This window comes from Homo sapiens, chromosome 10, assembly GCF_000001405.40.
Source record: "Homo sapiens chromosome 10, GRCh38.p14 Primary Assembly".
NCBI classification, from domain to species: Eukaryota; Metazoa; Chordata; class Mammalia; order Primates; family Hominidae; genus Homo; species Homo sapiens.
In genome coordinates, this window is record NC_000010.11 from 45,748,890 (window position 1) to 45,775,737 (window position 26,848).

Below are 26,848 nucleotides of genomic sequence, written 5' to 3' on the forward strand. Positions count from 1 at the left end.
GGAGCATGTCATTCCAAGTCTGTTTCTTTGCTTTTATAAACACATCTGTTTCCATAGAAATGCTGTAGTGTTTGCAGAGGGGGCGGGGCTTGGTATCATCCTGGATTTGTTATTCTGCGCTTTTTTGCTTGACCTACCTTGGATGGCTCTCTAGTCATTACAGCTTTTACCTTTTAACTATTACTCAGTATTCTTACTAAGGTAAGACTATGCTGATGATGTTTATATTTCTCTAGTAAAAGGCTGGGCATGGTGGCTCACGCCTGTAATCCCAGTGCTTTGAGAATGTAATCCCAGCGCTTTGGGAAGCTGAGGTGGTTGGATCACCTGAGGTCAGGAGTTCGAGACCAGCCTGCCCAACATGGTGAAACCCCGTCTCTACCAAAAATATAAAAATTAGCCGGGCGTGGTGGCGGGTGCCTGTAATCCTAGCTACTCAGAGGGCTGAGGCAGGAGAATGGCTTGAACCTAGGAGGCGGAGGTTGCAGTGAGCCGAGATCACCCCATTGCACTTCAGCCTGGGCAAAAAGAGCGAAACTCCTTCTCAAAAATAAATAAATAAAAATATTTCTCTAGTAACAGCCATTTTTGATATTTTAATATTCTGCTTTTTATATTCTTGTTGTTACATTCTTATAAAGGATACATTTTTAGGCCGGGCTTGGTGGCTCACGCCTGTAATCCTAGCAGTTTGGGAGGCTGAGGCGGGTGGATCACCTGAAGTCAGGAGTTCAAGACCAGCCTAGACAACATGGTGAAACCCCATCTCTACTAAAAATACAAAAAATTTGCTGGGCGTAGTGGTGCATGCGTGTAATCCCAGCTACTCGGAAGGCCGAGGCAGGAGAATAGCATGAACTGGGCAGGCAGAGGTTTCAGTGAGCCGAGATCGTGCTGATGCACTCCAGCCTGGGCCACAGAGCAAGACTCCATCTCAAAAAAAAAAAATATATATATATATATATATTTATATATATATATATTTATATTTTATATATATTTTTATATATTTTTTTTCTTAGATTCAAAGTAAATCTTGTGTATTATTTCTTCCAGCACATCTTTTGCTTCATAACTTGCTGCATCATGTTTATGATTATTATTTTAAAAAGCTGTTACTTCTTTGAAGGAGGAGCCTAAAGGCTGACAGTATCTCTTCTTTAGCTTAATAACTAGTAGTTCTAATTTGGTATTTTATACTCTTAGCACACCACACAAATGAGTGATGAGGAAGAGGATGATGATGGCTGTGACCTTTTTGCTGACTCTGAGAAGGAGGAGGAAGATATTGAGGACATTGAAGAAAATACTAGACCTGTAAGGAAGGCTGTAGTTGCTATCACTTGGCAGAGTTTTAGAACCAATGACTTGTTTTTCTTTTTATTGTGACTTACTTTGTACATCACTCATTTTGGCATATTTGTCATTTCATTTACACTTTGGAAAATAATGGCAAGCATCTCAAATTGCCTCACAAGTACCACTTTCTTGTCCAGATGTTATGATTTTATGAGTCAGATCATTCAGAATATGTCTAGTTCCAGAGTTTGAAGACCATAGTGCTCCTGTCTCTCCACCCATTCACCTTTTTCTTATTTTCGTATTTAGATTTTTAAGTATTAAAGTCAAGTATTAAAAAGAATAAGGAAATAAAGGGCATCTCCCTTTGAAGGAACATTTTATGAGTCCTATTCCTTGGGTGAGCTGTATAGGGTACATATGTTTAAATTCATTTAATTAAACTCTGTTTTCTCCTCAGTTCAATTTCTTTGCTCTTGTATACATAATGTTGTTAGGTGTCCAAAGTGAAGTGTACTAGTTTGTTACAAAAAAGCGATTCTTTTGATTTCTCCTGCTGTAGAAAAGAAGCAGACCTACATCGTTTGCAGATGAGCTGGCTGCCCGCATCAAGGGGGATGCCATGGGTCGAGTGGACGAGGAGCCGACAAGTGAGCCCCAGCCACGTTGATGGGGAGTAGGGGAGGAGTAGTGCAGGGCCCTCTGCTGGCTTCACCAAAGGCGGATTTCTCTTTTTATTAGTAATTACTACATATATTTATTAGTAATTGCTACATATAATTTAAATTGTAGCGCTTATTCCTTTTTTGGTTAATGGGCTCCTTTAGATAACTGAACACTGTGGACCCACAAGAAAAACGTACATGTACACATGTAGATAACCCTTTACATATAATTTCAGGGGATTAATGGAAACTCCAGAGAACCATGGGCAACAGCTTAAGAATTCCTGGCTGAATATTTACTCCTATATTTTGAACACGTAAGAATGTGCTATATAGCATATTCTAGTTATAACAGGGTAGAAAGATAACACAATAATTCTTTCAACAAATACAATCCTGTTATGCACATGAGCCTGGTACGAAAGCAGAAGCCTTCTGCCTTACAAAGAGACTCTTGAGTGCCCACTGTGGGCAGGGCCAGGGAGTTCAGTGCTCTGGTGCAGCTGAGATGAAAGGCAGATGTCTTGCTCTTAGCTGTGAGTTATGAGGATGACAGACGTGGAAAGAACCAGGATGTGTATACTGAGGGAGGACTTAGTACTATTAAAACTGTGAACTGTTCTTCAAGCCTTACCCTCAGGAGAAGCAAAACCTCGGAAGACACTCAAAGAGAAGAAGGAAAGGAGAACTCCTTCAGACGGTGGGCCTTTTCCCTCAATTCTGTTATTTTAGGAGCCTGTTGACTAAGGAATGTTGCTTACATAATTCATGAAGTACTGCTTTACATGCTGTTTTCCCTCTGACAAATGGGTCTGTCTCCATTTACTTTTCTAAAGCCTCTGGGCTGGACGCGGTGGCTCACACATGTAATCCCAGCGCTTTGGGAGGCCGAGGCGGGTGGATCATGAGGTCAGGAGTTTAAGACCAGCCTGGCCAACATAGTGAAACCCCATTTCTACTAAAAATACAAAAAATTAGCTTGGCATGGTGGTGGGTGCCTGTTGTCCCAGCTACTTGGGAGGCTGAGGCAGGAGAATCACTTGAACCCGGGAGGCAGAGATGGCAGTGAGCCTTGATCGCGCCACTGCATTCCAGCCCGGGTGATGGTGCGAGACTCCATCCCAAAAACAAACAGAAGCCTTGGAAGGCATGTTTTGGGGTGCTGGGAGGATATGTGGGTGTGGAGTAAAAATTCCTGTAGAGATTTGATTTATTAGATTTTACAGCAATCATTTCTTGTCTTCCTAGAATTCTTAGAAGTATAGAAACTTAGGAATCTCAAGCATTTGTTTTCAATAAAGGATACACCAGGCCTTTTCCTGCAAACAGCCATGTCGATTACATTAGACTTGTCCCTGTGTCAGTTTGCAGATCCCTTTGTTTATTCTGCCCTTCCTTCCCCCAGATTGGTTGGGGAATGGGTCTTGAATGTGGCGTCTGACCCGAATGCTTGCTTCAGAGTAAATCTAGATCCAGGGTGCTGGCCTAGAGAATGAATGCTGTGTGCCACAGACGTGGACAGACTTGAGAGTGGAGGCCCAGAGAGTCTTTTGAGGGTGTCAGTGGACTGTGCCAGGGGTTTAGTGTGAAATTCATCAGACTGCCTCACACTTTGTTAAATAGTGTCAGATAAACTCCATGCCAGTTTGGAGACACAGCAGATGCCAACCCGGGAATTTGAGTTCTGGACCCATCTTTAATACTCCCTGCAAAACATTGCTTTCTGTTTGCTAGATGAAGAGGATAACTTATTCGCACCCCCCAAGCTGACCGACGAGGACTTCTCGCCATTTGGCTCTGGAGGTGGCCTGTTCAGTGGCGGCAAGGGGCTATTTGATGATGAGGACGAGGAGGTGAGTCCATGGCACCCAGCAACACTCCCTGCAGCTAGCTGTGTCAGGGGTCCACAGGGAAGATATAGGCTTTGCTTGTTTAGTGGGGGAAAAACAGTTTCTCAGTTGGAAGTTGCTTCTATTTTCATATTTTGGGACATTTTGAACTAAGAATCACAGAGTGAGAAATGCCGTATCCTTCTATGCTTTGTTAGGTGAGGAGAAGATGTGCACGTGTTAATGTGAATAATTTACTAGGTGATTGTTTCTTGCCTTATCTGTTGTCTTCCACGTTTGTTTTTAATTCCTGGACAGGCCTAAATTATTTTAGGGTCTGATTTTGCCATAGTTATCACTTTGCAACTGATTTTCTGGCAGAGTAGTAAATATGTAGCTTTAAATCTTGTAGGTTATTTTTCCTTAGGAATCCTCACATGCAGCTATGCTTTCTCCTGGTTTTTTGAATTCTTTGTCATATACCTTATTTCAACCAGAGTGACCTCTTCACGGAAGCCTCCCAGGATCGGCAAGCTGGAGCCTCTGTTAAGGAGGGTAAGCTGGGGCTGGGCAGCTGCGTCTCCGTGTGCAGAGTTCCAAAACTGTCTTTCTCACTAGGAGATGGAACAAGGTTGTTCCCAAGCCTTGTTTCTGTGTCAAGCAAGAAGCTGTTGTTTTTACTGCGGTCCAGTTGAAAGTAATTCATCTTCACTAATTCATGTCTTGGAAAAAACAGTACCATCTGTAAACCCATACCACAGTCTTGCCTCTTTGTTAGGAGAGAACTCATAGAAAGTCAAACAAGAAAAGTACCCTAGAGCAATGTTGAGGATGGTTTTCATTGAATGAAGTTTAATTTAAAGAAACATTTTTAACATTCTGTATATAAGTTGGAGACCAGTAATTCCCCAACCCAGTGTGCATTAAAATCATCTGTGCAGGTTTTTTTGTTTTTTTGTTTTTTGTTTTTGTATTTTTAGTAGAGACAGGGTTTCACCATGTTGGACGGTTGGACAGGCTGGTCTTAAACTCCTATCCTCAAGTGATCACCCGCCTAGACCTGGCAAAATGCTAGGAATACAGGCATGAGCCACTGCACCTGTCCCCTTGGTGCAGTTTTTAAAAAACACAAATATAAATATGTTTTTTTTTTTTTTCTTTTTTTTTAACCTACAAATGTTACTCAATAGGTTTGTGGTAGTTCTTGGGACTTGGGAATTAGTGATTCTAAGTGCCGAGTCTCCCGGGCGCAGGCATCAGAGCTGGGCCTTGGAGGCCGCTCCTTGTGCCTGCTGTGCGGGCTGCTAGCCTGGCTCTCCTCTGCTTTCTGCTGTCCATGTTTTGGCATCAGTGACTTGCTTGGTTTCCCCCTTTGCTCTTATGTCTTTATTTTTTTACTGATGACTCACATGTTTTTGCGGTTCTTTTTCACCCGTTCATTCTCATCCAACTGGAATGGGTAGAGGTGGAACTGTTTGGGGGAGCCCCGGTCATGCTGTCCCTGCCTCTGCTGTGCTCACCTCCTCCCTTGGTGTCCCCCAGCTGACCCACTGCTGTGGCTTGATGACGGTCAGCATGCTCTTCCATTTGAGTCACAGCTCAGATTGTGTTAATCCCAAAAAAAAAGTCCTGACATCGGTAGAGAAGAAAATACTAAGGAATTTTAAAATGGCTTGTTCAGGAAAAAGTAGTTTCAAAAGGTCTGGTACTAGCTGTGTGTTACATTGCACGTATTTCAGGAAGAAAATAGCAAGGAAAGTTATTTCCCTTGTAAAATGGTTACCCCTTGCTTTCTCATTCTAGAGTCTTCATCATCCAAACCTGGAAAGAAAATCCCAGCAGGAGCTGTTTCTGTATTTTTAGGTAACATAACTTAGGTTTGTTTTCTAAAAACTACACAAATACTGTTTTTTGCATTTCAAAATTATCATCTTCTAAAGTCTGGCTGGAGATGAGGAAGTACCTGGGAGCTTCAAAGGGCTTTGAGCATCTTATAGAAAGAGCTCATTTACTGATATTAGCTCTTATTCTCCTAGAGCTCAGTGGCCTTGGACTTTTTTGTGTTTGAGCGACCTGGTGATTCTCCGTTGTGAGATGTTCTGTAGCAGTAATGGATGGAGGCTATTGGGCCCTGTTATGCATTTTGTGGATTAACTGAAATGGAAAGTTTTTGGTGGGTGATAATTTTTTTCTGTAAATTCAACCGGCCCACACTGGCTCACAGCTGTGGCTGTCTTGTCCCTTCACTCACAGGAGACACGGATGTGTTTGGTGCTGCCTCCGTTCCATCACTGAAGGAGCCACAGAAGCCTGAGCAGCCCACTCCAAGGAAAAGCCCCTATGGTCCCCCTCCCACTGGCCTCTTTGATGATGATGATGGTGATGATGATGACGACTTTTTCTCGGCACCCCACAGCAAACCTTCTAAAACACGTATGTGTTCCTGCCTCCGTTTCTAGGACTTCAGCCAGAAAAAGAATGTTGCCTAAAAAGAACATAAGCTCACCTAGTTCTGTATCTCTTACAGTGCCAGAATCCCTTCTCCAGCATTCCTGTCATTGAGTTGTTGTGTCTGTACTTACATAGGTGTGGTGCCTGGGAGGTCTGTTTTATGACCCAATCTTTTCTGCTCTGTAAGCTAATTACTATGATTATTTTCCTTATAGAGAGCTGAAATCCTTTTCTGTATAATTTTTGCTTGCAATTTCCAGTTCTGACCTTTGGTATTGTAAAGTTTTAATCATCCTTTCTTCCAGCCGACCTTAGTCAATTACATGAGCAGCAGGTTGTGTGCCGGCCATTTATTTCCCAGCTTCTCATTTCTCTGCCAAAAAGCTCAGGTGGCCTTGGTCTTTCCTCAGATGATGTTTTCATCCCCTTGGCCACTTTGGCATTCTCCTCTCTTTTCCTCTTAAATGTAAGTCCTATGTCCTGAAGTCATTCCCATAAATCATTTGTTTTTAAATGTGCAGATGAATCTTCCAGGGGCTTTTGTCAAAATGAAGATTCCGATTCAGTAGGTCCAGGGTGGGGCCTGAGAATTTACATTTCCAGCAAGCTTCATGGTCTGTAGATCACACTTCGAATAGCAAGACTTAGATCCATTGACTGCTCTTCCAGAAAAGAAAGGTAGATCCCTAGATCCCTAAGGTGCACATGATTTTCAGCAACTTTAAAAAATAAAAAAGGATGGCATAGGAATGGATGGAACTAGAATGCATTTAGAAGCCGGCTGTCTGGACTCACTCTCTTCCAGTGTTAGGTGTAGAAAGTAAGGATGGAAGCCGAAGTGTGAGGGAAAACGATAGCCTAGTTAATCTAGAAAGAGTGCAAACGGATGCAGAATGCACACAGGTCTCAGTGAAGATGACAATGCACACAGGTCTCGGTGAAGATGACAGTGAATGAAGGTAGTAGTGCTTTTTGTAGCTCCACAGGGCTCTTACTTAGTGGATATCTTTGAGAACTGATTTAGAATCCCTAGTAAATTGATGCTGCTTTCTTTGACAACTCCTAGTCTCTTCAGACATTCATGAGTCAGTGACCTCATTTCAGCAACACATGCCCTATTCGGTACAGCAGTGCTTATGGTGATGAAAGGTTGGAAACCACCCAAATACTTATCAGTAGAGTAAGCTATGGCCCTTCTATTCAGTGGACTATTCTGTGACAGTTAAAAAGAAAGGGGTCTACGCTTGTTGACTTGGGAAGATTTTGTAGGTACATTGAGTGGAAAACACAAATGGTAAGACATTGTTCAAATTATCTTCTTATTTATAGCCTTATTTATAAATAACTAGTGTTAATTCATTAGTACATCCTTTGGGGGAATTAGAAGCATGTATGCTGAACTGTTCCCAATGTTCATCTTGTTTGAGTAGACTGGTGGAATTATGAGGGGATTTCATTATTTGCTTTTATCTGCTTTTGTACAGTTTGATTTTTTTTAAAGCAGGAGCCAAGCCTTCATTTCTCAGATTCCTTAGATGATTGACTTGGTGGCCCTCTTAAATGATCTTTCTTCCTCTAGATCTCTCTTCACCTTGTAAGCCAGTCCAAGCTACTCTAAGCACAGGAAATGGCTGCTTGGATAAGCATGTCAGCCACGTGGATAAACTATCTGTTCTGTCTTTCAACTGAACTGCTACTATGCACTTTGAAAAATTCCAAGGGAAGAGTATAGTTCCACTTACTATTTCTTTATAACTAATCAAGAAACAACATAACTTTTTATGTTTATTCTTTGGGAGGGAAGAATTTTTTAATCTGTGAATTTTGTGATAGGATGTTTGACGTTAGTGTCATTTTATGCCTTGGTATTTTTTACAGGCAAAGTCCAATCCACTGCCGATATCTTTGGTGACGAAGAAGGAGATCTGTTCAAAGAAAAAGCCGTAGCATCGCCAGAAGCCACTGTGAGTCAGACAGATGAAAATAAAGCAAGAGCAGAAAAAAAGGTGAGCAGGAGGGAAGACTTAACGCAGGAGCATTGATCTGCAGCATTTTAATAATTCATCCGGAACCCAGAGGGAAGTACTGTTCCCTTTCACGTTCATATTGAAGAACTTCAAACAGAAAGTGGAAAGAACATTGCAGTGAACACCCAAATAACTGCCACCCAGATTGATCAGTTCTTAGGGTTTTGGCAAACACTTTATGGATGTAAACCTTGTTACATATCTATTTTTTTCCTGAACTATTTGCATGTAAGTTGTTTGAACTGTTTGCTGCATGGAACTGTTTCCATGTAGTCATTGTGACATTCTACCCCTAAATATTTCATTAAGCCTCTCTTGAAAAGACTTCCATATAAGCACAATGCCATTATCAACAGCTGTGAGACTAACAGTAATTCTATAGTAGAATCTAATATCTAGTCTGTATTAGAATTGCTCCAGTTGCCCCAGAATGTCTTTGCAAAATCACCCCAACAAATAGAATACAGATTTAAAATTATCTCGCATATAGTTCATACTGCAATTTCCTCTCTTGTCCCCAAAATGCCATTTACGGCAGTGATCCCCAACCTTTTTGGCATTAGGGATATAAGGAGAGTGCAACCTGCAATCTAGATCCCTCGCATGCACAGTTCACAATAGCGTTTGCCTTCCTATGAGAATCTGATGCTGCCACTGATCTGACAGGAGGAGGAGCTTAGGCAGTAATGCTTGCTGCTCACCTCACCTCCTGCTGTGCGGCCCGGCTTCTAACAGGCCATGGACTGGTCTGCAGCCCAGGGTTGGGGACCCCTGCTTTATAGTATTTTTTTATGTTTTGATTTTTTTTTTGTTCTAAGAAACTCAGGATTCGGACAGTGTGTCTGCATTGCATTTGGTTGTCATGTCTCTTTGGTCTCCTTAATCTAGAGCAACACCTCCCACATCTTTTTTTTTTTAATATCCAGCCACTTGTCTTGTAGAATGTGTCTCGTGAATTTGCTTGATTATTTTCCTATGAATAGATTCAGGGTGAGAAGTTTTGGCAAGAATACAAGCAGGCAGGGTTGTGCACTTCCAGTTGGATCACCTCCCAAGACACATCAGGTCCACTGTCTGCCTCATTCAGACACGTTTGTCACTTGGTTGTTAGGGTGCCCACCACACTGCTTCATTGGAAAGGTACCCTGTTCTCTTTTGCCATTGCTCAGTTGATCTCTAAAGTGATAGTTGAACACAGTGTGAATACCTGTTCTCTCCCAGCCTTTTACTCAGTGTTTTGAAAATCCACTGATGATCTTTTCTTGACTCAGTTAATCTGTTAGCGGGCACAAACCACTATTTTTTTAATTCTATATTTCTTATTAGTTGGCATTCTTCTGAATAAAGTTCTTTCTCTCCCCCTCCTTCCCCGATTTTTAGTATTGCTTTGGGATCATGTATTCATTCTTCAGTGTAGATGATAATCCATTACCATCATTCTTCTTCTTTTTTTTTTTTTTTTTGTGAGACAGGGTCTTGCTCTGTTGCCCAGGCTGGAGTGTAGTGGTACAATCACAGCTCACTGCAGCCTCAACCTCCTGGGTTCAAGCGATTCTCCAGCCTCAGCCTACCAAGTAGCTGGGACTATATGCGTGCGCCACCATGCCCGGCTAATTTTTTGTGGAGACGGGTTTTGCCCATGTTGGCCAAACCATCATTCTTTTTGATGCTCAGATTGACCTGCATTTGGCCAGTGTGTGTGTCCCCAGCAGTCTTTAAGCCCTTCTGACTGCTTGTCCTTTCACTGCTGTCCTGTACAGCTGGTCCCTCCTCTTTCTACAGTTTTGTCTCTTTGTGTCATGTCCTGGCTGTGAAGCCCTGACTTTCTCCTGCCGACCACCTAAGGCCCAGCATTCAGAACCTGTCAGGCCCGTCAGGCAGCCTGTCTTTCCATGCTGTCTCTCATTGCATATGTCCCATCTGTGCACCCATTGACCCAGACTGTGTGTCCTGCTCCCTGATACACCAGATGTGTCCTCTGTTTGTCTTGCTGTTCTCTTAACAGCCCCCTCAGCTTGCTGCCTATCACAGCAGAGACTCCGTGCGTTTTCTCGATTGATTGAGTAAACCCTCTTTTCTGGGTATCTTACGTGTTAATGCTTAATTTTTCTTTTTCTTTTTTTCTTCCCCACCCCCCCCCCACCCCCGACAAAGGTTACCTTATCTTACAGCAAAAATCTCAAGCCCTCATCAGAAACAAAGACTCAAAAAGGCTTATTTTCAGATGAGGAGGACTCTGAGGTATGGAATTCTTTTGCTTAGTTGTGGGTATTAGTCTATGGATATGACATAGAAACTATTTTTGAATCAGGTTTTTCTCAATAGAGTTATAAGACTTTTTGTTAAGTACTCCAGTTCTTTAAAAATTATCTCTAGAGGCAAGGAGTGGTGGTTCATGCCTGTAATCCCAGCACTTTGGTAGGCCAAGGCAGGCGGATACCTGAGGTCAGGAGTTGGAGACCAGGCTGGCCAACATGATGAAACCCTGTCTCTATTAAAAAGACAAAAATTAGCCGGGTATGGTGGTGCGAGCCTGTAATCCCAGTTACTCAGAAGGCTGAGATAGGAGATTCACTTGAACCCGGGAGGCAGAAGTTGCAATGAACCGAGATCACACCATTGCACTCCAGTCTAGGCGACAGAGCGAGACTTCATCTCAAAATAAATAAATGAATAAAAAATAATCTCTTGAGAGCACAGGGGCTTTAGAAAGCAATATGTTTACAATACTTTTCACTTTGGGTTGGACTGTATTTACATTTCCTGGGATGAAAATCCTCTCTCTTTAGGATGCTCAGATTTTAAACTGTTCATGGGCTCATGATGTGATGAGGAGCTTGCACCAGAGTGGAGGTCACCATGCTACTTCCTTTATTCACATTCTCACTAACTAGACCGTGGCTTAATGCTGTAGCAGATGGGTTCTGGCATAGCCATCTGTCTTGTCGAGACTGAGACCACTAACAGCCTCTGGGACCCTGGTTCATAGGTTGCTTTGGTCCCTCCAGGCACCTTAGAACCACCTCTCAGAATTTCACTGCTTTTCCTGAGTCTCTCAGGCCTAGGTCGTCTTAGATCCAATTTTAAGTTGGCCTTTTAGGAGATCGGAGACCTGTATGAGAAATGTAATGGGAAATAATAAGCCCCTTTTACAGAAAAACATGTGGACATGGCAGAAACTTACATGTATTTCAAGAAACTGTGGGCTCTAGGTTAGGCTGTCATGGTTGGGCTTTGCACTCACAGCAAGGATGAACATGGAACCCTTTGGAAGTATAGTGATTGCCCTTGACGTAAAGAATACCTTTGAGGCTATTATTTCATTGAAGGCGAGTGTACAAAACATGGCAATTAACCAAAGTCCAGTCAAGTCACAACCCTGACCCCTGAGAAACAGCATGATGGGGCCTCCACCGTCTTATGCTCATGGATCCCCTGTGTCACCCACACCTGCACCTCGGGGTCTTTGCACCGGCCCCTGCCACTCTGAGGAATGCTGTTCCCAGAATCCAGCTTTCTTCCTCACTCTTCGATTTCTCTGTGAGGCCTCGCTGATGAAATACACACAACAGGAAGCCTGCTAGCACATACCACGCTGTGCTCCTGGTCCTCTTTCCTATTTCACTGTTTACCACAGCACGTGTTGCCAGGGACAGTGTATATTTGCTTATTCATTGTCTCTACTTCCCACTAAAGTACGTGCCATGAGGGCAGGACTTTGTATTCCCTATTTGTATCCCTAACACCCCGTCCTTAATACCTGTGCTTGGCATGTTGTAAGCCATCCAGTAATTGTTGATTAGACAAGAAAACCAAATGTGAGCAATTTCAGTGACTTACGAGATGTTCTGGTTATTTGTTGCTATGAAACAAGTAACTCAAAAACCTAGTGGTTCATAACACCCATAGTTTTGTTGTCTCACAGTTCGAGAGGTTGACTGGGCTTAGCTAGGCCGTTGTCACTGAGGGTCTCTTGTGTCTGAAGGTGGCTGGGCTGAGGGTCAGCTCACTCATATGTCTGGTACCTGGGCACTGGGGCCCCTGGGACATCTCTCACTAGCCCTGTGTGGCTCCCAGCATGTAGTCAGGGAAGCCGGTCCTCTTACATACTGGCTCAGGGCTGTAGGGGAGAGTCCTCAGAGAGAGCCCGATGGAGGCCATGTCGCCTTCTGTGTTCCAGCCTTGGAAGTCAACGGTGGTCCTTTTCCTTCATTTGTTGGTCAAGATGGTCACAATGGCCCATCCAGGTTTATGGGGAGAGGCCATAGGCTCCCCTTCTTGATGGTGGGAGTGTAAATGTACTCTCAGACTTGTGTGAAAACCCTACCAAAGGCTTTGCCCCATGTGTGTCATCATAGAGTGAATGTTTTTATTGGATATTGTTCAGATTCTGAGGCAAGGAGAAGTAAAACTAAGGCAGTCTAAGTAAGAGTTAAAGCTTTGGACCCAAAGGAATGCGTCCTGACTCCTTTCTCTATATCTGAAGTGTGAGGCTGAAGCTTGCCCTGTGAAGTCATTTTGGGGGAACATATTTGAGGTAACGGAAGTGTCTTTTCTTGCAGTACCAAGAAAGGTATCAGTTAAGGGTCCGAAACTGTGATGTTGACATTTGTTTTTGTTCTTTGCTTTGGTTTACTTTCATTTTCTTAGAACAGCAGAACCCTTTCTCTTGCCATTGTGTAACATGCAGGAGGGGCACGGGATGCCTGGAATCCCCCACGTGGCCTCTTCTATCTAAATAAACCCATGGGACTCCGGGGAGCACAGGGGAAAAACACTGTGTGGAGGAGATCTCACTTAGTGAACTCATTAGGTCTATATTTAGGAGTAGACAGCGACCCCATAATTAAAAAAAAAAAAAAACTGTCCAAAGAGGTCTTAGAAATATCTTCTTGTCCTATTTAATTGTTCGGCTCTTGTGTATTGAAGTTTATCTTCCCAAGGGAATAGATGTCCCATTTTATGTTTCTACTTCATGTAGGTCAACTTGCAGGTCTTTCTTTGCAGGATAAGCTGATGTTTTATAACATTTTGAAAATTTCTTGATTTTTATATTTTTTAGCTATTTTGAGATGAAATTATACTCTTTTTGCCTAGGCTGGAGTGCAATGGTGGGATCTTGGCTCACTGCAACCTCTGCCTTCCAGGTTCAAGCAATTCTCCTGCCACAGCCTCCTGAGTAGCTGAGATAACAGGCACCCACCACCACACCTGGCTAATCTGGTATTTTTACAAAATTAATATAGGCTGGTCTTGAACTCCTGACCTCAGGTGATCTGCCTGCCCCAGCCTCCCAAAATGCTGGGATTATAGACATGAGCCACAGCACCGAGCTGAAAGTTTCTTTAGAATCTATCAGGTCTTATCCTGGTTTGCAACGTCATATACCTATAGTTAAGCTAAGTAGACTAGCAAACATTTAAAAATAAAGTTTAATTTGTATTTATTTAAAAGAAATAAGTCGGCCGGGTGTGGTGGCTCAAGCCTGTAATCCCAGCACTTGGGGAAGCCGAGGCGGGCGGATCACAAGGTCAGGAGATCGAGACCATCCTGGCTAACATGGTGAAACCCCGTCTCTACTAAAAATACAAAAAAATTAGCCGGGCGTGGTGGCAGGCGCCTGTAGTCTCAGCTACTCAGGAGGCAGAGGCAGGAGAATGGTGTGAATCCGGGAGGCGGAGCTTTCAGTGAGCCGAGATTGCACCACTGCACTGCAGCCTGGGCAACAGAGCGAGACTCTGCCTCAAAAAAAAGAAAAAGAAGTAAGTCATAATCTTAGGAGAGGAGGGTGTTACTAAATAAAATAGTTGTAGCTCCATTAATTTGGGAATCTAGCCCCTGTTTCTTTATTGACCCTGTCTAATCTCTGATTCTTTAGACAGTAATGGGAAGCCATGCTTATATATTTATTTTTTTAGCATGGTGTAGGAAATTGATTCAAAAACTTATTCCTGCCTTCTGTCATTCAGGTGGGAATACAGAAGCCCCTGGGCTCTGCGAGCCCACCAGATCCTGTAGCTCTCCTCCTCCTTAGCGCCACTGCACACACCCTGCACAGACCCTGAGGCCTATCCCTTTAAGGACTCTGTCTGAGCCACCTTCCCTCTCAGGAAAGAAGCCTAGACACATGGCAGCTGTCATGTCTGAGTCACTTGTGTTTTATACTGACCTGATATTTTAAAAACTGATATTCCTGTTAACCAGCAACTTTAATTTCAATCCAACAGGATTTGTTTTCTTCTCAAAGTGCGAGTAACTTAAAAGGTGCATCTCTGCTGCCTGGCAAGCTCCCCACGTCGGTTTCCCTGTTTGATGATGAAGATGAAGAGGTAAACATTGTTATTGTAACACTAGATAATTTAGATTAGGAGAAAACGGTTGTTGATGTAACTTTCTACCCAGAGGCTCATATACTAGCAAAAGGTGGTAGGGAAGCAGTCAGGCTACCTGAAGTTTATATAACAAAAATATTTCTGTTTTTATTTCAGTGACTTCTTCCTTATATTTTCCTAGCTGTGCAATGGAGAAGACATTAGATTCTTGACGCAGTTCTTTTTTTTTTTTTTTCCGAGTTGGAGACTTTCTCTGTCACCCAGGCTGGAGTGCAGTGATGCGATCTTGGCTCACTGTAACCGGGTTCAGGTGATTCTCCTGCCTCGACCTCCCAAGTAGCTGGGACTACAGGTACGCACCACCACTCCCGGCTAATTTTTGTATTGTTAGTAGAGACAGGGTTTCACCATGTTGGCCAGGCTAGTTTCGAACTCCTGATCTCAGGTGATCCGCCTGCCTCGGCCTCCCTAAGTGCTAGGATTACAGGTGTGAGCCACCGTGCCTGGCTTCTTGACACAGTTCTTATGGAGTGAAATCTACAGGTTTTATTTTTAGAAATCTGCCTTTGAGAAATACAATTGACCCTTTAACAGTGTGGAGGTTATTTTGACTTCCACATTGCAGTGAAAAATCCATATATAACTTCTTACTTCCCAAAAACTTATCTACTGATAGCTTACTGTTAACCAGAAGCCTCATGGATAACATAAACAGGTGATTAACATATAAATAGTATAATATCTATTTATATATTTTTGTATTCCTGACATATCCAGCTTTTCCTTATTTTTTTTATGATATTTCTAGGCCACATGGTTTGTCTGCAAGATTTTTCAAATTGTTGCAAATGTCCAAAAAAATTTTCAACATATTACTGAGAAAACATTTGTGTAGAAGTGGACCTGTGCAGCTCAAACCTGTGTCATTCAGGGTGAGCTGTACTTTAGTCTAGAGGATGGATCAACATATACCCAATGACCTACAAGAATGTTTTGGATCAAGTGGAGATACAAAGGAGGAGGCAGCCATGTCCTGACCATTGTCTTTCTTTCCCGTCCTGGCTGGAGAGAGCACAGTGGGGAAGAGAAATAAGAGAGAAGACAACCCAAACCTTAACTCTCATGCAGTACTGGGCGGTGGTGAGCTCAAAGGCTTTGCCATCAGACCCCTGGGTTCATATCCCAGCTCCACCACTTGCAAACCAGGAACCTGGGGCAAGTAACTTAACCTTCCTTAAGCTCATGTGGCTTAACAGTGAGTAGGGTCACTGTGGCAGCTGTAACTACTAGTGTGAAGCTCTTGCAGAGTGCCGGCACATAATAAGTGCATAGTGAATGTGAGCTCTGTCATTAGCATCCCCAATGGACACCAGCTCATTATTCTCCTGGCCTGTCCTACATTACCGCACTCTCCTTAAAGGAGACTTCATCCAGGAAGACACTCCCTTCATCCATCTTCACATTCCAGGGCTGTTCACCTGAGTTTGTCCATCCTAACTCAGACTCAGGCCCTCTGATGCTTTTGTTCCCCTTATCTGAATAAAAGCACCTTAATAAATATAACTTTTGGGGAGTGCTTGACCACAGAAGAATTTACAAATGCCATTAAACTTAGTACACCAGCAATTTTATTTAGTAAGCTATTTCTCCACTTTGTATAATCTCTTTGAAACTAATGAGAAACACAAGTCATGCCTTCCCTCCATCCCAGGTGTATGTCTTTCTGACCTGTAAAGGAGTGGAGACAGACCCCCAGTTCTCTCCTTTCAGCCATTGTTCTGGTTTCTCATTCGTGGAGACAACAGTGTGAGTTTCTGGCTGCTGCGGGGGCTCCCGTGCCCATCGCAGGCTGTAACCACCTGAAATGAGCAGAGAGGCACTTGCCCACAGGGTGACTGGATGGGGCTCAGTTTCTCCTTGTACTTCATGATCTCATTTGCATGTTGTTCTCCTGCTTATATGCAGCTGTTCTGCCTTCGAGTTCTATGGTAATCTCTTTCCCTTCTATGGGTGCAGTGAGAAAAGGCTGTAGTTTGGGATTTACTAGCATTTTGCGGTTTTTCCCCGCCAGAGTTGTTATTTGTATACCTGACTGGAGACTTACTTCCTTAAAGTTTGATATAGGAGGACATCCTATGTTTTCTGATTATAAAGTTGTCTTACCTTTCTGCCATTTGCTTTTCTAGGATAATCTTTTTGGGGGTACAGCTGCTAAGAAGCAGACATTGTCTCTACAAGCTCAGAGAGAAGAGAAAGCAAAAGCCTCCGAGCTCTCCAAAAAGAAAGCATCTGCCCTGTTGTTCAGCAGTGATGAGGAGGTGAGCTGAGGTTTCTGCTAAAAAAGAGGGGATTATTTCATGGGATTTAAGAGTTAAAGCCATCCCAAGTCTTTTTCTACCTGTTTTATATCTCGTGATGTTCAGTCACCAAAGGCGATGTTCACAAGATTGTCTTTTCTGAAGGAAGACATTTAATGTAATATATTAATTTAAAGATGAATCTCTTCAAAATGGTTAGGAATAAGTATGACTCCCACACAATAGTGTATGCTCCTTCAAATGAGTTAGGCCGGCTAGGGGGGAAATGATTTCTCAGCCATCGCTAGTTCATGGTCGAGTCCCTTAGAACAAATGACAGATTAACCAGAGAAAAGTGTGCAAGTTTACGTAAGATAAGTTTTACCAGACACAGGAGCCTTCAGAAAGAAAAACTCAAGAGAAACAGGAAATCCTGTGTCAATTTTATGCAGTCTGATGAAGAAGCGGACAGTTTTGGGGGAGCACGATTAGATGAAAGGGGTGTGACCTGATGGGAATAAGCTGGGGGGAGCTCAGCAAGGCCTGTGTGGTCAGATCATTCTCTGCATCTTTACAAATAAGGAGGCTCCTTTCCTCTGGGAATAGGGAGGACTGGAATGAAGGTTTTATGACCTACTCCAGAGAGGGTTAGAGGATTCTTCTATGTCCTGCTTCAGAGGAGAAGGGCCAGGGAAAGGTCAGAGAGACCTTTCTGCTTCTGTTTTCTCAAATGCCAAGGTGTCATATTTTGAGGTAGCATGTCCCGTATACCCCAATGGCCATATATACTAGTATCTTGTTAAATGACTACTGTGTTTCATTAATTTAGAACTATAGTTAGGAGGAGTTACCTATTGAGGTTAAACTCCTTTTTGAGGGAGTCTTAACAATATTTCTGTTTGTGATCTGGATAGATACTACCAAATCAGTTAGTTTAGTTGCTAACTCAATCAGATTTAGTAGCAGGGAATCAGATTTAGCTGTGCAGAAAAAGACTTTAAATATGATGATATAAAAAATCCTGAGTATTAAACATCTTCCTGTGTTATAATAATTCCTCTTTTTTTTAACATTGTAGGCAAGTTAGTAGGGGGTGAAGTGGATATATAAGTCATAGATATGTTCATGTCCTTACTGAAAGCAATTTAAAAATTCTGAAGCAGATTGCAAAAAAAAATGTATTAAAAGCTTATGCGGCCGGGCGTGGTAGCTCACGTCTGTAATCCCAGCACTTTGAGAGTCTGAGGCAGGCAGATCACTTGAGGTTGGGAGTTCGAGACCAGCCTAACCAACATGGAGAAACCTTGTCTCTATTAAAAATACAAAAAAATTAGCAGGTTGTGGTGGCGCATGCCTGTAATCCCAACTACTCAGGAGGCTGAGGCAGGAGAATCACTTGAACCCAGGAGATGGAGGTTGTCGTGAACCGAGATCACGCCATTGCACTCCAGCCTGGGCAACGAGCGAAACTCCGTCTCAAAAAAAAGCTTATGCAACACACATGTGAACAAGACACAATGAAAAACTGCTAGTAATCCTTTTACTACAAAAGTCTGAGTCTGGCCTTTAGAAAGCGTTTAAGGAATTCCCACCCAGCTGTGCTCATGCCTTCACATCAAGGAACTCCCAAGCATATATAATTTGTGTTTTCTACTCAAATGTATGAATTTATGATAGATTATCCAGTTTTTTTCTTTTAAACATTGTCAGTGATTGTTCCCCCTGTAGCAACAGCCAGACATCAGTGTAGTTGCTCCTACTAGAGTATTATAGTGGTTCAGGGAAAATAAAAACATTACCTAAAGCTTGGAGCAAAAAGACATGCAGAAGAAAGACAGCCAAGGTTCTAGAACAGGGGCGTCCAGTCTTTTGGCTTCCCTGGCCCACACTGGAAGAAGAAGAATTGTCTTGGGTCACACATAAAGTGCGCTAATACTAACAATAGCTGACGAACTAAAAAAATAAAAAGGTTCGTGCATAAATCCCATAATGTTTTAAGAAAGTTTACAGATTTGTGGTGGGCCGCATTCAAAGCCATACTGGGCTGTGTGTGGCCCATGGGCCACAGGTTGGACAAGCTTGTCCTAGAACAAAGGCTGTCAACTTCGGCTGCTCATTGGGATCCATGGGGAACTTAAAAGAGTGCTGACAGGCCGGGCACAGTGGCTCACGCCTGTAATCCCAGCACTCTGGGAGGCCAAGGAGGTGGGCAGATCACCTGAGATTAGGAGTTTGAGACCAGCCTGGCCAACATGGCGAAACTCTGTCTCTACTAAAAAATACAAAAATTATCTGGGTGTTGTGGTGCTTGCCTGTAATCCCAGCTACTCAGGAGGCTGAGGCAAGAGAATCACTTGAACCCGGGAGGCAGAGGTTGCAGTGAGCCGAGACCGCGCCACTGCACTCCAGCCCGGGCCACAGAGCAAGACTCTGTCTCGAAAAAGGAAAAAAAAAAAAAAAAAAAAAGAAAGAGAAGACCTAACGAGTGCTGACAGTGGATCCCAGCTCCAGAGATTCTGAATTAATCTGGTTGGGGTACAGCCTCGTCATTGGAGTTTTGTGATACTCTCTAGTGGATTTCAGCGTTTAGTCACTGCTAAACATTGAGGAGCACTTCTCAAACCTTCATGTTTAGGAAATCACCCAGGCACCCTGTGAAATGCAGGTTCTGATTCAGAAAATAGGGGCGGGGCCTGAAATTCTGCATAATCTGCTGCTGGCTTGTGGACTCCAGTTTGGTTTGCAAGACTCTAGACTCCAGAGATAGAGCACTTATGCAAGTGCTTGGGAGTTCTTTGATTTGAAGGGGTGTGAGCATAGTTGAGTAGAATTCCCTTAAATGCTTTCTAAAGGCCACATTCAGACTTGTGGTAAAAGGATTACTAGCAGTTTTTCATTGTGTCTTGTTCACATGTGTGTTGCGTGAGTTTTTACACTTTTTTTTTCAATCTGCTTTAGGATTTTTAAAATTAAAATATTCTTCTCTGGAGTTGGAAGTTCTTGAGTTCTTGGTATTTTTACATTTGGCTTCCTTCTTATAGCCTCTGTAATTAATGTTGATTCCCTGAAATAGACAAGTCGCTTGTAATACAGTGCAGAACCACATTGGGAAGAGACATCGTGGCAGGTGTTGGAGGAGGAAATCATGAGAAGCTCTGTGAGGTCAGAGAGCCCAGCTGTCTAGATTTGAGTTCAAAGAAAAGTCTTAAGCATGAGCTTTCTTCAAGACTGATGCACTAAGTTTAATACTTAGTTTAAATACAACTTAGTTTAACAAATATAAGTTTGATTTTACTCCCCATGTTTTATAATCTAAATTGCCATTGGAGTTTTTTTTCTTTTTTTTGAGACAGAGTCTCGCTCTGTCCCCCAGGCTGGAGTGCAGTGGCACGATCTCCGTTCACTGCAAGCTCTGCCTCCTGGGTTCACTCCATTCTCCTGCCTCAGCCTCCCAAGTAGCTGGGACTACAGGCTCCCGCCACCACGCCCGGCTAATTTTCTTGTATTTTTAGTAGAGATGGGGTTTCACCGTGTTAGCAAGGATGGTCTTGATCTGCTGATCTCGTGATTCACCCGCCTCGGCCTCCCAAAGTGCTGGGATTATAGGTATGAGCCACTGCGCCTGGCCTGGAGTTTTAATATATATTTTATGTTTTAAGGACCAGTGGAATATTCCTGCTTCACAGACCCACTTAGCATCTGACAGCAGGTCTAAAGGAGAACCCAGGGATTCTGGGACCCTCCAGAGCCAGGAGGCCAAGGCTGTGAAAAAGACCAGTCTCTTTGAGGAAGACAAAGAAGATGATCTTTTTGCCATTGCCAAGGACAGGTGAGATAGTCATTGGAAGGAGTCCCTCACTCCATTACCGTGGTAACAAGAAAAGGAATCTGATGCACAATCTAGTTCATCGGGTGATTGCTAATCATGGATCACATAGTGATTGTGCCAGTGAGAATGTCTTTGCTTTTCAATGGCACCATCTTTTCCCTCAGTACCCGGAAATGTTTGTCTTTGTGGATCCTTATCTGATTTCTTCCCCAATCATTATTTTTTAACCATATTCTTTTTCTTTGTTTGTCAGGGATTTGAGTATCTTTTGTTTGTGATTTTTCTCTGGGCTACTCTAAAGTATGTCAGGTTTGGTCAGGATTACTTAAAAGTTACTTTAGGCCAGGCACGTTGGCTCACGCCTGTAATCCCAGCACTTTGGGAGGCCGAGGTGGGCAGATCACGATGTCAGGAGTTCAAGACCAGCCTGGCCAATATGGTGAAACCCTGTCTCTACTAAAAAAATATAAAAATTAGCCGGGTGTGGTGGCACGCGCCTGTAGTCCCAGCTACTTGGGAGGCTGAGGCAGAAGAATGGCTTGAACTCGGGAGGTGGAGGTTGCAGTGAGCTGAGATGGCACCACTGCACTCCAGCCTGGGCAACGGAGCAAGACTCCATCTCAAAAAAAAAAAAAAAAAAGTTATTTGAATAGAAATCTGCTCAGCATTTAACACATCCTGTTAGGAGGAAGTTCCCTGTAGAGCTGTGCAGTATCACTCCAGGGGCTGATAACCCATAGCCAACCTAGGTGCCTCTCCCCATTAATGCTGGAACTGAAGCTGCTAGGATATTCAGAGTGAGCGTGGGCTGTGGTTGGTATAACATGCTGCCAGATTAGCTTATGGGTTCAGAATTACTTCCCTGCAAATACTTTTTTTCCTTTTGAAAGCCTGACATGATTACTTTGAAATTCACCTGAATGTTATTAGCAGAAAGAAGTAACTGATTGGACATGTAAATCCTATGCTTTGGTGTGGTTAAGCGTCATTTGATAGATTCAGAAGTACCTCAGGTTTCTGTCTCCAAATACTCGAATCTTGTCAAGCATCACCATTTCTGCATTAGGCCTCTGTAACTTGACACTCGGATGCATCTTTGGTCTCTGATTTAGAATATAGGCTCTGGAAAGTTGATATTAAATTCTGATTCTGCCAGTTCCTGTCTGAATAACCTTGGGCAAGTTACCTAACTTCCCTGTGCCTCAATTTCCTCATTTGTTAAACAAAAATAAAAACAGCATTTCTCTCATCGGTTTGTTGGGATGATGAGGTGGAATCTAAATGTGAAACGCTGAGCACAAGAGCTGGCACATTCTGAGCCCTCAGGTATTGCCAGTTAGCATCGTGACTGCAGGGAAATAGTACATTCCTTTATTTTTGTTGCTCTCTCCTGGGACATTCTTCTTCCTGTGTTGCCTGGCCACCTTCTTTCAAAACTAAGTGTAAGTTTCTTAAGAAGCCTTCCCGGCTGGGCGCAGTGGCTCACGCCTGTAATCCCAGCACTTGGGGAGGCCGAGGCAGGCAGATCACGAGGTCAGGAGTTGAAGAACAGCCTGACCAACATGGTGAAACCCCGTCTCTACTAAAAATACAAAAATGAGCTGGGCGTCGTGTCACGCACCTGTAATCCCAGCTACTCGGGAGGCTGAGGCAGGAGAATTGCTTGAACCTGGGAGGCAGAGGTTACAGTGAGCCAAGATCTCACCACTGCACTCCAGCCTGGGCAACAGAGAGAGACTCCATCTCAAAAAAAAAAAAAAAAAAAAAGGCCTTTCCTAACTTTAAACAGACAAGAAAGAGAAGAAATAGGGAGTAGAGGGCAGACATGGCTCCACCTTCATACCCCAACACCCTCAGCTGAGCATTTTCTGCACTGTATCCAGGTTAGCTTATTCCCATGAGTGTCCACTACCCCCACCCCACACAAGGTCATAAATCTGGCAGTCTGAACCCCATCTTGTTTGTGGGTCCTGGTTCCAGCCACACACCATACCTGGCTTTCAGGAATGCTTTCTCTGCTCCAGATACATCCTACCTCCTATTGTTCCCGAAGTTGTCTGTCAAGTTTTGTGTATGGAAAGTAATTCATACCTTCATCAGATCTCAAAAGAAGCTTTACACACACAAGAAGAAGTTGAGGTGAGGATGTGGAGGAATTGGAACCCTCATACACTGCTGGTGGGAACGTAAAATGGTGTAGTCACTTTGGAAAGTAGTTTGGCATTTCCTCAAAATGTTAAACATAGAGTCACCATATGACATAATAGTTTCATTCCTATGTATATACATAAGAGAAATGAAATTAGTTGTTCATATAAAAACTTGTACATGAGTGTTTATTGCAGCCTTAGTCATAACAGCCGAAAGTGTAAACAACCCAAATGTCCATCAACTGATGACTGGATAAACAAAATGTATAACCATACGATAGACTGTTCTTCAGCAATAAAAAAGAATAAAGTAGTGATGCATCCTAGAACATGAATGAACCTAGAAAATTTTATGTTACTTGAAAGAAGCTGGTCACAGAAAACCACATATTGTATTGTTCCATTTATATGAAATGTATAGATAAACCACAGAGACAGAAAGTAGATTAGTGGTTGCCAGGGCCTGTGGGGCAGGGGGAATGGAGAGTGATGGCTCATAGGCATGGCGGTTCTTTTTGGGGTCATGATAATGTTGTGCACTTAGGTTGTAGTGATATTGCACAACTCGATGAGTATATTAAAGAAAACATTGAAGTATGCACTTTAAAAGAGTGAATCTGGATTAAGAAAACCATTGAAGTGTACGCACTTTAAAAGAGTGAATCTGGCCAGGTGCAACGGCTCATGCCTGTAATCCTAACTGATTGGGAGGCCAAGTGGAAGGATCTCTTGAGGCCAGGTGTTTGAGACCAGCCTGAGCAACATAGAGCGACCTCACCTCTCCAAAAAAGTAAAAAAATTAGCCAGGCATGGTGACGTGTGCCTGTAGTCGTAGCTACTTGAGAGGCTAAGGCAGGAGATCACTTGAGTTCAGGAATTTGAGGCTGCAGTGGGATATGATTGTGCCATTGCTCTCCAGCCTGGGCAGTAGAGTGAGACCCTGTCTTAAAAAGTAAAATAAATATTAAAAATAGAGTAAATACAAGGTGAATTTTATGGAATGTAAATTATGTCTCGATAACGCTACTAAAAAAAAGAAATAGAAGCCAGGCACAGGGTCATTTCCCAGTGCTAATCCTGGCCCTGTGATCTCTCTTGGCAACCGTCTTCATGACAATTCTGGAAATAGGCACGTCCGCTTTGATTCTTTTTGTGCTATAGGAAGTGGGAGAGAATGTTCTGCTTGGGAAGGCTCAGGCATCGTGTGCCTTGCAGCGGTAACAGCTGATGAACCTGCACTGGATAGTAACAGGAAAGGGGCAACCTGAGGCAGGAGGGACAGAGGCTGGTGATTTGTTGGAGTCAGATTTCATCTATTTCAAAGGTCTTTCCTGTTTGCTTTCAACTGTGTAAGGTCAACTAATGGCTTGGGTGTTTGGGTGGTAGGTGGATTCCTGTAGGTGCAGTCTAGAAGAAATATTGTTGTTATGGTTTTTGTTTTTTTCATCACACTTTTCCTTAATTTGACCTTTTGTTTGTTTGTGTAGCCAAAAGAAGACCCAGAGAGTGTCACTCCTCTTTGAAGACGATGTTGATAGCGGAGGCTCTCTGTTTGGCTCTCCTCCCACATCTGTTCCTCCTGCAACAAAGGTATTCTTCATCTCTTAGTCCCAGGAAATGTCCTTGAGTTTATGCTGCATCAGTAGTGGTACTTCCCCGAATCAGCTCTTCATACCTAACCTTGGAGGCTGAGTCTTATGGAAGACCTTATTTGCCTGGTTTCAGAAAGAGATCTTCTGATTAATAGTATTCTACAGAAGAAGCACACGTGCAAAGCCATCATTCAGTGTCAGGTGTAGGCACAAGGAACTGGGTCTCAGAAGAGGCTTGGGCCCCATTGGCATGGAATTCTGCTAACATTAGACTAGGCCAGTTAAGGCAAAATCATTCCTTTTATGAGTGTGTGTCGAGTACTAACACTGGTCCTGGTTTATATTAGCCAGTCAGTAAAAAGGAAGGAAATTCTCACATGTGCTACAAAATGCATGAACCTTGAGGCCGTTATACTCCATCAGTGGAGAAATGGTCACACAGGTCCTAGTACAGTTAGACTGTGGAATACTATACAGTGGTAAAAAAAAACCCAGGGTGGAGCTTATTGGGATGAAAAACATACTGCAGGCCAAAAAAAAAAAAAAAAAAAAAAAGCGTAAACACGTAAACATGGTGTAATTTAAACTTTACAAAACAAGAAATACACATGAATGCCTGGAAACCGGCCTGAAAGCATCGATAGCACATTGTTACCAGTGATTATGTCCAGGGAAAGGTATGGAATGGGGAACTTCATACTCTCAATGCCTTTTTAAAGCCTTTTTAAGGAAGGCATTTGTGCATTACTGTGGAATTAGAAATAAACTCCAAACAAAAAATATCTAGGAGATATGGAAGAAGACCCTTCCTGTTAAATGGAGTTGCTCAGCTTATACCAGAAGCTCTCAGCCCTGGGCCAGCATGCTGCCCACCCTGGGCCCCAGGCTCCCTGCTGCTGCTTCTACGGGGCTCCTGAGCCTTTCCTTGGGTGCTCTGTACTTACATCTCCCCCTTTAAGGACATCCAGTGGTTGTACAATTAAAGGAGTCAGGAGATCTGATTGGTTTTTCTTTGTAAATTATAAATAAACTACTCTGGAGGATAACTGAGCAATAAATTAATGAATTTTGGAGCCTCTGGAGCTGTAAAACTTCTTTCAACCTATGGTAATTATGATTGTTAAATAAAACAAAAGGTCAAGACACACAACTTAAGTAGCTGAATAGCCTACACGTTTTTGATTATTTGTGAAATATAATCATCTTTAGACAATAGTAAATAAAAGATATTTCTTGTTTACAGATATTTCAGTGTAAGTTAATTGTGACTTGGTTGTAAGCCTATGTTGACCAAAAGGTTAAACCACAGGCAGGAGAACTTAAAGAAATGTAATGTGAGTTTTGTTTTGAGCCAAGCTTGAGAACTACTAGCCCAGTAAAGAGACTCCACACAAACTGAGAATGCGTCCCAGAGTGGGCCACACGAGACACAGCATTTATACATTTCTGTTATATAGAAAATGGGAAAAGGGGGCAGTGAAGCAACGGTGACTTTCTTAATTCAGATTGGTGCTCAATGACATTGAATATAAGATAAAGTAAATATGTGGTTAATGTATTTTCCTCATTAGCCTTTTACCCTAATGAGTACATAGGGGTCGCAGTTGCAGGGTCAGGAGAGGGATGGTTGATTTTGTGCTGCCTTTGTGCTTCATCCAATAGGCAGGTTGTAATCGGTGCCTGTCAGTGTGATATTTGACAGACTCTGGCCTTGCAGGTGAGGTTCAGCTTTCGTTCATAGGCCCGGTTTCTATTACCCATATGGCCAAGATGCAGCCATTTTAGACAATTTTTTTTTCTTCAGACTTTCCTTATTTTCTGACACCTATCAAGAAAGTAAATTTGACCAGGCACGGTGGCTCACGCCTGTAATCCCAACACTTTGGGAGGCTGAGGTGGGTGGATCACCTGAGGTCAGAAGTTTAGGACCAGCCTGGCCAACATGGTGGAACCCCATCTCTATTAAAAATACAAAAATTAGCCAGGCATGGTGGTGCACGCCTGTGATCCCAGCTACTAGGGAGGCTGGGGCAGGAGAATCGCTTGAACCTGAGAGATGGATTTTGCAGTGAGCTGAGGTTGTGCCAGTGCACTCCAGCCTGGGCAACAGAGTGAGACTCCATCTCAAAAAAAAAAAAAAGAAAGAAAAAAACAGGAAGTAAACTTCATGACAAGGATGAGCTTGTCTTCAAGAAGATTAAAACTGGTACTTTGGGTAGCATTTTCTGTGGTTTAAGGACCTTAGTTATATATGAAGGAAGAATATGATTTGCCATACTTAAGTCTCTTTTTGTCTCCCCTATCAACTATTTGCATTGAATTTTTTTTTTTTTTTTTTTTGAGACGGAGTCTTGCTCTTTCGTCCAGGCTGGAGTGC

General features: G+C 42.9%; 1 protein-coding gene across 54 annotated transcripts in view; it reads left to right on the forward strand.

Annotated features, from left to right (window-relative positions):
* WASHC2C (WASH complex subunit 2C) overlaps nt 1–26,848 on the forward strand; it is a 65,922-nt gene that overhangs the window by 21,847 nt on the left and 17,227 nt on the right. For 23 of the 54 annotated variants that reach the window (NM_001367393.1, NM_001367405.1, NM_001367412.1 and 20 more), the window contains 13 exons: nt 1,207–1,317; nt 1,862–1,949; nt 2,593–2,664; nt 3,699–3,817; nt 4,291–4,348; nt 5,597–5,656; nt 6,047–6,226; nt 8,123–8,250; nt 10,426–10,512; nt 14,499–14,600; nt 16,790–16,921; nt 20,560–20,729; nt 24,367–24,469. In NM_001367393.1, the coding sequence (NP_001354322.1) occupies nt 1,207–1,317; nt 1,862–1,949; nt 2,593–2,664; nt 3,699–3,817; nt 4,291–4,348; nt 5,597–5,656; nt 6,047–6,226; nt 8,123–8,250; nt 10,426–10,512; nt 14,499–14,600; nt 16,790–16,921; nt 20,560–20,729; nt 24,367–24,469 (1,410 nt within the window). Of the gene's footprint in view, nt 1–641; nt 755–1,206; nt 1,318–1,861; nt 1,950–2,592; nt 2,665–3,698; nt 3,818–4,290; nt 4,349–5,596; nt 5,657–6,046; nt 6,227–8,122; nt 8,251–10,425; nt 10,513–14,498; nt 14,601–14,759; nt 14,956–16,789; nt 16,922–20,559; nt 20,730–22,733; nt 22,869–24,366; nt 24,470–26,848 lie in introns of those variants that run through there. The other 31 variants (NM_001367398.1, NM_001367403.1, NM_001367400.1 and 28 more) reach the window with 10 other exon arrangements.